Consider the following 13,224-nt stretch of genomic DNA (forward strand, 5'->3'; position numbering starts at 1 on the left):
GGTGTTTGGTCTGTGTGGGTACACCCTGATGGTGCCTCCTCTTCAAACTTCCCTTCCACAGAAAGTCCAATACTCTCCCCATGGGCTTTTAGCTTCCTTCACACATATTCCCTTCCTCACTCCTTTTCTATCAATCAAAGCCCCTGAGCTGATGTTTCCCTAGGAAGATGATAATGGAGACCACTTAGATTTGATAAGAGAAAGTTGAAGATGGAGTGTGCTCTGTGACATTTGCCTATGGACAGCCACCACAGCCTGGACTTAGGTTCTCTCCCTGTCAGAGAAGCTGAGCCAGCCACAGGGATAGGGCAGCACAGCTGCCAGGTCCACCATTCCTACTCAGCCTCCTCCTGAAGGCCAAGCAACCTCCATCCTGGGAGCTGTCTCAGGAGCAGGACTTCTTCTTATCACCCATATCCTACTCCATGGTGAGTCATCACCAGCACAGCCATACCCAGTCACGGGAGTGCAGCAGCCTTCACTCAGATCTAAGCCCCGAGAAGAGGTGTGTTAACAGCTGTGGCACATGGACCACATTTATCTTTTCGGATGCTGCCTCCTTCTTGCCCTCAATTGTCCTGTCTGTTTATTTTAATTCCAGGAGGTTTTGTTTCATGCCATAATAGTATCAAAATAAAATATTGGTAATAATAAAAATAACCACTTTTTACGGAGCACCTTCTTTGTGCTAGGAATGTGCTAAATGTTTTGCTTGTACATTTTCCTTCAGTCTTCACAGCAACTTTCTGAGGGAAATAACAGCTTTTATTTTCCCCATTTTATAGATGAGCGGTCAGAGAGATATGAAAGTACAGTGAACTTACTCAAAGTTACAAAATTAATAATTAGCAGAACCGAGAATTGAACCAAAGCCTTAACCATTGAGCCTCTCAGTCACTAAGTATCTGTTTTTTGGAAGTTTCTTCATAGTAAACATCTTCCTTCATCTAAACTCTTCTTTTTAAACTATGTTTCACTGCTTGGCCTTGTGAGGTGACAGTTTTGGGGACTAGTATTCTCAAACTCTCTAACATCCAGTTTCATCATCTGAAGATCATGGCCTTTGCCACAATGTTCTATCCATAATCAGCTGCCATCTACAGTGGATGTGGTATCAAAATCAAGGACAGGACATTAATCTGTCTATTGTGACACTCTCAAGTGTGCACATGACTGGCAATTTGCTTCTAAGATCACTCGATTGCAGTGATAGCCACTAAGAAGCTACCCCCTAAAGAACAATAAACCCAGTTCTGAGTGAACCGAAGTAAGCCTTGACATCACAAGCAATGTTGAGGACTTTGCCCAGAAGATGATGGAGAAACAGATCATGGGGGGCAGGTTTTGGGGTGCACTGATTGCTCTTTCAAAGGAAGCAATACTTGAGAATTGGGGAGCTCCTTTGGGAAAGAGTAGCTTGTAAGTTCAGTATACCACAAAGTGGCTTTTGAAATAATTTAAGTGATAAGTAGATGGACCTCTTTCAATATGTGTGTGTGTGTGTGTGTGTGTGTGTGTGTGTATATATATAAATATATATTTATATTATATATATTATATATATATTTATATTTATATTATATATATTATATATATATTTATATTATATATATATTATATATATTATATATGTAATACATATTATACATATAATATATATAATATATATATATATTTTTTTGAGACTGAGTCTCGCCCTGTCAGCAGGCTGGAGTGCAGTGGCGTGATCTTGGCTCACTGCAACCTCCGCCTCCTGGGTTCAAGCGGTTCTCCTGCCTCAGCCTCCCGAGTAGCTGGGACTGCAGGTGCACGCCACCATGTCCAGCTAATTTTTGTATTTTTAGTAGAGACGGGGTTTCACCATGTTTGCTAGGATGGTCTCGATCTCTTGGCCTTGGCCTCCCAAAGTGTTGGGATTACAGGCATGAGCCACTGCACCTGGTCCAATATTTTCATTTTTATATACATTTTTCTTTTATAGATATATGACTCTAAGAAGACTAAAATACATAGCCTCTGTATTTTTATTAAATCAACTAAAATATACTAAACAAATAATAGCTGTATTGGTACTTGAATATGTCAAAAACTTGAAGAAAATGCTCAGAAGTCTGGAGTTTTAATTATGTATGGGTAGAAACAGCTCAAAAGGAGGATCTTTGTCCTTTTTTATTTTCTTTTTGGTATTTTCTACATGCCACCACATTTTTCTTCCTAATCCAACAGGTTTTGAAGATAGTACTCTGAATACAGAGACTCTAATAAGTTGTGTCAATTCAACATATGTTTCCTCAAGAAAATTTACATAAGTTCTTGCTAAAACCAAGGTCTTAGTCAACTACTACCATAATAATGCTTTGTTACAAACCACCCAAAACTCAATGGTTAGAGGAACAAGCATTTATTCTTTTTTTTTTTTTTTTTTTTTTTTTGAGACAGAGTTTTGCTGTTGTTGCCCAGGCTGGAGTGCAATGGTGCAATCTCGGCTTACCACAACCTCCGCCTCCCAGGTTCAAGCGATTCTCCTGCCTCAGCCTCCCGAGTAGCTGGGATTACAGGCATGTGTCATCACACCTGGCTAATTTTGTATTTTTAGTAGAGACGGGGTTTCTCCATGTTGGTCAGGCTGGTCTCGAACTGCTGACCTCAGGTGATCCGCCCGCCTCGGCCTCCCAAAGTGTTGGGATTACAGGCATGAGCCACCGTGCCCAGCAAGCATTTATTCTTATGTTTAAATGTCTCACTTGGAACAATGAGAAACAAAAGAATGGGACAAGCTGTGTGGTCTCCCTCTTAGCAAATGTACCAGTTACTTATTACTCCATAATAAACAACCCCTTATTTGGTGGCTTAAAAAAAATTGGCTCTCCATTCTATGGATTGGCAAATTAGGAAGAGCTGAAGTATCCTCTGTGCTCATTTGCATCTTTGGTTTCACATAGCAGGCCATTTCAGGGCTACCTAGTCCAGGATGGTCTCACACACATGGTTCTTGGTTGGCTGGGGCTGTTGGCCAAGGTGCCTCAGATCTCCTCCATGAGGCCCCTCTAGCAGGCTAGCTTGGGCTAGTTCCCATGGCAACTAGATTCTAAGAGAGCAAGAGTAAATGCTGCAAGGATCTGGAGACCTAGGCTTGGAGTTATACAATATCACTTCTGCCATATTCTATTTGTCAATTCAAGTCCCAAGGCCAGCTGAGATTAAAATAAACTCCACCACTTGAGGGGAGGATTTGCAAATAATTTGCAGTCATGTTTAATATGCCACAGGAGAAAGACAGTTTTCCTTTGAAGCAACCTATCATGAACAGATCACTGAACCCGGGAGTTGGAAAACTTGGTTTTCAGTCCTACATCAGTTTTAAAGTAGCTGGGTAATTTTTACCTACTTTTTTTCACCTCAATAAAATCTAGCACTGAAAACCTATGTTTCTAGGTTTCTAGTCTGGTCTCTGTTTCTTTTAAGGGGGACTTTAAGGTCCCAAGTCTTCTAAAGTCTCTTAGGTTTAAGGTCAAAGCATTAGATCAATGTATGGCAACTGATTCTCTCCCCCTTAAAGATGACCATAGATGAAAGAAGGAACTATCTAAACCCACTAAGCCAGTCCTGAAAGTGCTGGCCAAGGAGATTAAGTAGAGGGTCATATAGCAGCTATTGGGACTCTTCCTTAGGAGATACTTGGTATTTTTCCATTGCCTTGGCATGATTTGTTGTTGTTGTTGTTTTGTTTTGTTTGTCCCTTCTTCTATTCTGCTGCCTAGAAGGAAGATGTTTCCTTCTAGGAAGATAAGGATGACAGGAATGAGGTTCACACTTGGGGGAACTGTTAACCTCTTGAGCTAGAAGGAACCCAGCATCTGGGTGCTGTGGACGTTGTGGAGAAAAGTGGCCATGTCGGCTCTAGACTGCATCTCTACAAACTTTTACATGTGAGAAAATTACTATTTTCTTTAGGCTACTGTAGTTTCTTTCTATTACTTAAGACTAACTTTAATCCTACTAATAGATAAATATTAATACCTAAGATAAATGAGGTTTGACCATGTCTACCTATTCAGTGTTGTTAGATACAGATGACCATGTTGCGAACTGCACAATTTTAAGGATTGACAATTACATGAACTAAAACGTGCATGGTTTTCTATAGGGTTGAGCCACACAACAACCTTGTACCTAACAACTAGTATGATGTGGAAAGAGGAAGTTGATCTCATACTAACGTGTTGTTCCTATACTTCTTGTTGGTTCACTCAGAGACCTCAATATTCTTGCTCAAGTTGTTCAACTTGTGTTTTTTCTCTTTTCTTTCTTTTATACACAGGGTCTCGCTCTGTCACCCAGGGTGGAGTGCAGTGGTGCAATCTTGACTCACTGCAGCCTCAACCTCCCAGCTGTATGACCTTGAATTGAACACCTCTTTTTGAGATGGGGTCTCACCCTGTGACTCAGGCTGCAGTGCAGTGGCATGATCACAGCTCACTGCATCCTCTCCCGGGCTCAAGCAATCCTTCACCTCAGCCCCACCAAGCAACTGAGACTACAGGTACACACCACCACACCCGGCTAAATTTTTGTTTACTTTGTAGAGATAAGGTCTCACTATGTTGCCCAGGCTGATCTTGAACTCCTTGGCTCAAGTGATCCACCTACCTCAGCTTCACAAAGTGCTGAGATTACAGGTATGAGCCCCTGCACCTGGCCACTTTTATAAGTCTATAACTGTTGGAATCCTCCCAAGAAAATAGAAACAGCTCTAGGTATTTCAGAGAAAACTTAATACATCTAACTAGATACATAGGTAATAGAAGAATTGAGAAGTTAAATGGGTGGGGGAGAGAAAATGAGGCAGTCCTAAAATTATCAACAGAAGAAAACTACCACAAATCTTTAGTTTAGAGGAACAAAGAGGAGAAGGGGTGTTACCAGAGTCTGGGAGTTGTAGCACGTGCAGAAGATGGACCATTCTGGACCTTCTCAGCAAGCTGGGATCTTAGAAGAAAGAACTATTTGGTGGGAGATGGAGCCACTGTGGACATATGCCTGCCCTTGGAGGTGCCCCCTGAGGCAGAGAGAGAAAACAAGAAACATCCTGGTTTCATCTCTGCTTCCACCCTCTTCCCCTTGGCTGAATCTTTGCAGAAGTCAGAAAGAAAAGAGCCTGGGGAAACAGTTCCTCGTGATACAGAGCAGAACAGAGGAAGCCAGGAAACTGACCTGCAAACAGGCAAATGACTGGCACAGAGTATTTGTAGGAGTATTTGATTTGTGCGTAAAGGCACTGGGAACACGCAGTACTGCTTCATAGCCCAAGTTACCACGGGTGGCTCAAAGCTGAGCAGAAAATGCTCTTTTATGCAGAACTCCTCAGTATCTTGAAAATTAGATGTTTTTATTATCTGGAAACAGCATCCTTGAAATAGACATTGCTATTCTTATGATAGTCTGCAACAGCAGTAATAAAGGTAAGCCTCCTTCAAATACCTCTGTAGATAACAGACATTAACTCAGAGAAATAAGAGCAAAAGAAAAATAACACAGTGGATGCTGCATAGTAACCACAGCTGACTGGATGATTTATTTCCTGTGAAAACCTACCCCTCAGGGAATTCCAAAAACACTTGAAGTGAACTTTTTGGGAGAGGCAAGAACAGGATATTTGAGGTGCTGATGTTCATATGACATCATGTGTATCCCCAGATGAATGGATCAGGCATCATTTGAATTCTATGAATATTTACTTCAAGAGTGTAGTCTTTATTAATAAGCAAGCTTGGTCTATGGTTTTTCTTTTTAAAATGTCATTTTTATAGCCTGGGCAACATAACGAGATCTCATCTCTATGAAAAATTTTAAAAATTAGTCCTAGCTACTCAAAAGGCTGAGGCTGAGGTGGGAGGATAACTTGAGCACAAGAGTTCAAGGCTGCAGTGAGCTATGAAGGCAGTGACTTTGTGACTTGCAGAGTGAGATGACTTCCCCTGGGTTTTCATTTAGCCTCATATATCCCAGTCATGGAGGTGAATAATTCAGAAACCCAGAAATGAAATGGATGCAGACAATAAGAGCCCCAAGGAAAGCCTGCTCTCTCCAGCAAAAGGAGCAGGAAAAGGGCAGCCTACCAAGACAGAAAACATAATAGTCACTCTATTCAAGCCAATTACCACAGAAAAAATGGTGGCTCCTTTCCCATCCATGCCAGCAAAGGCTGACAGGAAAGCCTAGATTTCCACCTTTGAAAGGCATAGTGAGGCATGCAAACAACCTCCCACCACACACACACACACACACACACACACACACACACACACACACACACATGCGCACACACACACACACACGTGGTATCAGAGAAGGCCAAGTAGGGAGCCAGAAATTTCATCCTCACTGGACAATAAAGAGGCCCCCATCCCCTCCTGTCAGAGGTGCTGGTGGAGGGAGAGTCATGACTTTCATCATCAGTCAGTAGTAAGAAGAGCAAATCACCCCCCAGCCATAGTGTCATTGGAGGCCGTGTGGGAGTCACTCCTATCCCTCCAGACAGAAAGTCCTACCCCTTCACACAGAAAGGTATCAATAGACACCAAATGAGGGCTTGAAATCCTAACCTTGCCCAACAATAATGAAGAGTCTTAAACTGGGTTGTCAACAGAGGTCAACTGAGGAAACCGAATTTCTACTCTCACCAAAATGGTGCTCCCTACTGCCACCACTCTGCTGGAGAAGTGCCTGAAAAAGCCAGCTAAAATAGAAGGTTTAAATAAGATCTAGGTCCTCATAACATAGTACAAAGATGCCCAAGTTTCTATGAAAATCACTCATTATACCAACAACCCTGGAGATCTGAAACTGAAAGAAAAAGAAAAAGATAATCAATAGATATTAGCATAGAGGCCAGGCACGGTGGCTCACGCCTGTAATCCCAGCACTTTGGGTGGCCAAGGTGGGTGAATCAGCTGAGGTCAGGAGTTTGAGACCAGCCGGGGCAACATGGTGAAACCTCATCTCTACTAAAAATATAAAAATTAGCCGCTCTTGGTGGTGTGCACCTGTAATCCCAGCTACTCGGGAGGTGGAGGTAGGAGAATCGCTTGAACTTGGGAGGTAGAGGTTGCAGTGAGCTGAGATCACACCATTGCACTCCAGCCTGGGCAACAAGAGAGAAACTCCATCTCAAAAAAAAAATATATATATATATATATATCTGTATATATTTTAGCATAGGGATGATAGAAATGTTAGAATTCTGTGATAATGATTTTAAAGCAATCATAATACAATTGGTTAAATGAGCTGAAACAAATAAAAGAAAAGGAGTTTCAGCAAAGAAACAGAGGATGTAAAGAAGAGACAAACAAATTTTGGAACTCAAAAATGCAAAATTAGAACCCCAAAATAAATAAATAGCCCAAATTTAAAACTCAGTGGATGGACTCAACAGGGAACAGATGGGTAAAAAAAGCAATGTACTAGAAGACAAAACAACATAAATTACCCAGTCTGAATAACAGAGAGAAAAGGGACTGGGAAAAATTTGAACAGAGCCTCAGAGATCTGTGAGACTATAATAAAAGATCTAGACTGGGCACGATGGCTCACACCTGTAATCCCGCACTTTGGGAGGCCGAGGTGGGTGGATCATGAGGTCAGTAGATTGAGACCATCCTGGTCAACATGGTGAAACCCCCATCTCTACTAAAATAAAAAAAAATTAGCCAGATGTGGTGGCACACACCTGTAGTCCCAGCTACTTGGGAGGCTGAGGCAGGGGAATCGCATGAACCCGGGATGCAGAGGTTTCAGTGAGCCAAGATTGGGCTACTGCACTCCATCCTGGCCACAGAGTGAGACTCCGTCTCAAAAAATATATATAAATAAATAAAGATCTAACGTACATTTCATCAGAAAAAGGAGGGCTAAAAATGTGCTCAAATAAACGATAACTGAAAACTTCCCAAATTTGGCAAGAGACAAACACCTACAGATTCAAGAAGCTGAGCAAATCCCAAACAAGATCAACCCAAAAAAATCCACACTGAGACGCATCATAGTTAAACTTCTGAAAACTAGACACACAGAAAGATATTAAAAGCATCAAGAAAAAAATAAAGTCTATATTGGAAAAACAATTCAAAGGACAGTGGATTTCTCATCAGAAACCATGGAGGCCAAAAGGAAGTGACATAATGTTTTCCAAGTGCTGAGAAAAGACGACTGCAGCCCAGAATCCTATACTTAGAAAAAATATACTTCAGGAATGAAGAGGAAGTCAAGACATCTCAGATGAAGGAAAACTAAGAGAAGTTACCATTAGCAGAACCATCCTAAATGAATGACTGAAGAAAGTTCTCTAAACAGGAGTGAAATTACAAAAGAAAGAAGGAAACTTGGGGCCGGGCACAGTGGCTCATGCCTGTAATCCCAGCACTCTGAGAGGCTGGGATGGGCAGATCACCTGAGGTCAGGAGTTCAAGACCACCCTGGCCAACACGGTGAAACTCCATCTCTACTAAAAATACAAAAATTAGCCAGGTGTGGTGTTGCATGCCTGTAATCCCAGCTACTCGGGAGGCTGAGGCAGGAGAATCGCTTGAACCCAGGAGGCAGAGATTGCAGTGAGCTGAGATTGTGTCATTGTACCCCAGCCTGCGCAAAAAGAGTGAAACTCTGTCTTAAGGAAAAAAGACAAAAAAAAAAAAAAAAGGAAACTTGGAACATCAGAAAAAAACATAGTAAACCAGTATATAGGTAAATACAATAGACCTTCCTTTTTGTGAAGACTTTGAAATTGTGTTTGATGATTGAAGCAAAAATGAGACTATATCTGATATAAATGTAGAGAAAGACCATTACATTATAATTATGGGAGAAAATAAGATGACTATGATTAATTATGTACATGTAACATAATACTAAAGTAACCACTAAATTTATTAGGGCAAGGGCCAGGCATGGGGCTCACACCTGTAATCCCAGCACTTTGAGAGGCCAAGGTGGGTGGATTACTTGAGGTCAGGAGTTTGAGTCCATCCTGGCCAACATGGTGAAACCCTGTCTCTACTAAAAATACAAAATTAGCCAGGCATGGTGGTGTGTGCCTGTAATTCCAGCTGCTTGGGAGGCTGAGGCAGGAGAATCACATGAACCTGGGAGGCAGAGGTTGCAGTGAGCTGAGATCACACCACTACACTCCAGCCTGGGAGACACAGCAAGACTCTGTGTCCAAAAAAAAAAAATATATATATATATATATATATGCATGTGTGTATATATATATATGCAAGAAATACACCCAAAAAGACTACAAATAAATCAAAATAGTTTGAAAAATGTTCAAGTAGCCCACAGAAAGCCATGAAAAAATAGAGAAATAAAAGAGAGAATAAACATAAAACAAAAAATTAAATAAATGTTACACTTTAATGCACCAATAATTACATTAAATGTAAGTAGTCTGATAAACCAAGTTAAAGACAGAGACTGGCAGAGTAGGTTACATCCCCCCTTATATGCTCTCTACAAAAAATTCACTTAAAATATAATGATATAGACAGCTTAAAAGTAAAATATTGGAAAATGGTATATCATGCAAACATTAATCAAAAGAAAGGAGGGGACCAGGCGTGGTGGCTCACGCCTGTAATCCCAGCACTTTGGAAGGCGGAGGCAGGTGGATCACGAGGTCAGGAGATTGAGACCATCCTGGCTAACAGGGTGAAATCCCATCTCTACTAAAAATACAATAAAAATTAGCCGGGCGTGGTGGCGGGTGCCTGTAGTCCCAGCTACTCGGGAGGCTGAGGCAGGAGAATGGCGTGAACCTGGGAGGCAGAGCTTACAGTGAGCTGAGACCACGCCACTGCACTCCAGCCTGGGTGACAGTGCAAGACTCCATCTCAAAAAAAAAAAAAAAAAGAGAAAAAAGAAAGGAGTAGTTTTATTAATACCATGTGTAATAGACTTCACAGCAAAGAAAATCATCAGAGACAGAGATATTATATAAGATTAATCCACCAAAAAGACATAGCAATCCTAAAATTGTGTGCACCAAACAACAGAACTGAAAAATATGTGAAACAAAAACTGATAGAATGGGAGGAGAAATAGATAAAGTCACACTTACAGTTGGAGATTTTAACACCCCTTCTCAACAAATTATAAACTATGTAGACAAAAAATCCTCAAGGATATAAAAGAACTCAGTGTTCTAATTAACACGTATAGCACACTTCACCTAACAGCAGAATAGACATTCTCTTCATGCCCACAAAACATGTACCAAAGTAGACGATATCTTTTTTTAAAACTCAAAAATTTTAAGAGAATTGAAATCATACAGGGTGTGTTCTCCGGTTAGTGGAAATCAAAGAGCAGAAAGATAACAGGAAAGTTTCTGAACACTTGTAAACTAAGCAACAGACCTCTTAATAATCTGTGGGTCAAAAAGGAAGTCTCAAGGGATTTTTTCAATACAGTGAATTGAATGAAAATGAAAACACAACAATCAAAATTTGTGCCACACAGAAGGATTGAGAGGGAAACTTACAGTGCCAAATGCACACATTAGAAAAGAAGAATAGTCTCAGATCAACAATGTAAGTTCCCACTTTCAGAACCGAGTCAGAGGCTGCCTGCAGTGACTCACGCCTGTAATCCCAGTACTTTGTGGGGCTGAGGTGGGCAGATCACTTGAGGTCAGGAGTTTGAGACCAGCCTGGCCAACATGCCGAAACCTTGTCTCTACAAAATATAGAAAATTTAGTTGGGTGTGGTGGCACATGCCTGTAGTCCTAGCTACTTGGGAGGCTGAGGCAGGAGAATCACTTGAACCCAGGAGTTGGAGGTTCCCGTGAGCCAAGATCACACCACTGTGCTCCAGCCTGGGCCACAGAACGAGACTCTGTCTCAAAGAAAAAAAAAAAAAAAAGAACTGAACCCAGCCAGAAAGGAATGAAATGAACCCAAAACAATCAGAAAGAAGAAAATAATAAATATAAAGAATAGAAATCAATACAATTAAAAAACAGAAGAGAAAACTAATGAAAAAGAGCTGGATCTTTAAAAAGATAATGATTAAAACTGACAAATCTCTGGCAAGACTGACAAAATGAGAGAGTGAGAAAGAGAAGACACAAATTACCACATCATCAATATCAGAAATGAAACAGGGGATAACACTATAGTCCCTGCAAACATCAAAATTTCATGAACAATTCTACATGCATAATTTGACAACCTAGATAAAAATCAAATGATTTATTAAAAAAATACAAACTCTTACAATGCATTTAAGATAAAGTAGGTAATTTGAATAGCCTTAAAAGGAAATTTAACTTGTAATTTAAGAGCTCCCAAATGAGATATTGCCAGCCCCTAGTGATTTTATGGGAAAAACTAATAAACATTTACAGAAGAATTAACACCAATTCTATATACAATCTCTTCCAGAAAATATGAGAGGAAGAAATACTTTCCAATTCATTTTATGAAGCCATTTTCACCCTAATGCCAAAACCAGACCAAAAAAACACACAAAAAACCCTGCAGACCAATAATCCTCATATAGCTGAAAATTTCATAATAAAATATTATCAAATAGAATTCAGTAATATGTAAACATTATTCTCCATGGCCAAGTAGGATTTATTCTAGGAATGCAACATAGGTTTAACATTTGAAAATCAATCAATGTAATCTACCATATTAATGGGGTAAAGAAGAAAAATCATATAATCGTATCAGTTAATTCAGAAAAAATCATTAGACAAAATTCAACACCTATCCATAACAACTCTCAGAAAAATAGGAATAGATTTGACACAGTGCATCTACAAAAATCCCATAGCTGGCTAGGTACAGTGGCTCATGCATGTAATCCCAGCACTTTGGGAGGCTGAGGCAGGTGGATCACCTGAGGTCAGGAGTTTGAGACCAGCCTGACCCATACGGTGAAACTCTACTAAAAATACAAAAATTAACCTGGCATGGTGGCATGTGCCTGTAGTCCCGGCTACTCAAGAGGCTGAGACAGGAGACTTGACTGGACCCAGGAGGTGGAGATTGCAGTGAGCCAAGACCGCACCACTGCACTCCAGCCTGGGCTCCGTCTCAAAAAAAAAAAAAAAAAAAAAAATCCCATAGCTAACGTGATATGTGATAAGGGACTGAATGTTTCCCCCATAAGATCAGAAACAAGGTAAGCATGCCTAATCCACTCCAATCACTCTTATTAAATGTAGTGCTAGAAGCTGTAATAACTACAACAAAGTAAGAAAAAGAAATAGAGGGAATACAGATAAGAAAAAAAGAATTAAAATGGTTTCTGTTTGAAGATAACATGATTGCCTACATAGAAAATTCCAAAGAATATACAAAAAAAGTTTAGAACTCAAATGTGAGTTAATTAAGGTCACAGGATACAAGATAAACATACAAAAAACAGTTGTGTTTTTATTTGCTAGCCATGAACACGTAGACATTCAAATTAAAAATATAATAACGTTTACAGTCACTCAAAAAATACTTAGCAAACAAAGCGTGTAATAGTCAAGGTTCTTCAAAGAAGTAGACCCAACAGGATGTGTATATATATAGTCATGCATTGCCTAACAATGGGGATATGCTGAGAAATGTGACTATGCAGTCTCATCATGTGAACATCATAGAATGCATTTACACAAACCTAGATATTATAGCCTACTATACACGTAGGCTATGTGGTATGGCGTATTGCTCCTCGGCTATAAACCTGTACAGCATCTTACTGTACTGAACGGTGTAGGCAATTGTAACACAATGGTAAGTAGATATATATCTAAACATGGAAAAGGATTTTTTCAGCTCCATTATAATCTTATGAGACCACTGTTATATATGTGATCTGTCATTGACCAAAACGTCATTGTATGGTGCATGACTGTACATGTATGTAAGATTTTTTGTTGGTATAGACAAAGTTATTCTATAATTTATATGAAAAAGAAAAAGAATATATAAAACAATTTTGAAAAATAAGAATGAAGTAGGAGAAATCCATTTACCTGGTATCAGCAGTGATTACGTAGTTACAGTAATTAACAATGGTAGTGCTGGAGGGACATAGAGATCAGTGAAATAGAACAGAAGTCAGAACCCGTAAATCGGCCCACATAAACATATCAAGCTGATTTTTAATGAAGTGCAAAAGCAATTCATTGGAAGAAATCCTTTTCAACAAATGTTGCTAAA

General features: G+C 40.0%; 1 annotated feature.

Annotated features, from left to right (window-relative positions):
- Positions 239 to 640: a transcriptional cis regulatory region, noted in NCBI's record as "candidate enhancer chr7.5193 targeted for multiplex CRISPR interference". NCBI's record gives its function as "positively regulates KEL gene expression with high confidence in K562 cells {active_cell/tissue: K562}" and the evidence as "EXISTENCE:mutant phenotype evidence [ECO:0000015][PMID:30612741]".

The sequence above is a fragment of the Homo sapiens genome, chromosome 7 (genome assembly GCF_000001405.40).
Source record: "Homo sapiens chromosome 7, GRCh38.p14 Primary Assembly".
NCBI classification, from domain to species: Eukaryota; Metazoa; Chordata; class Mammalia; order Primates; family Hominidae; genus Homo; species Homo sapiens.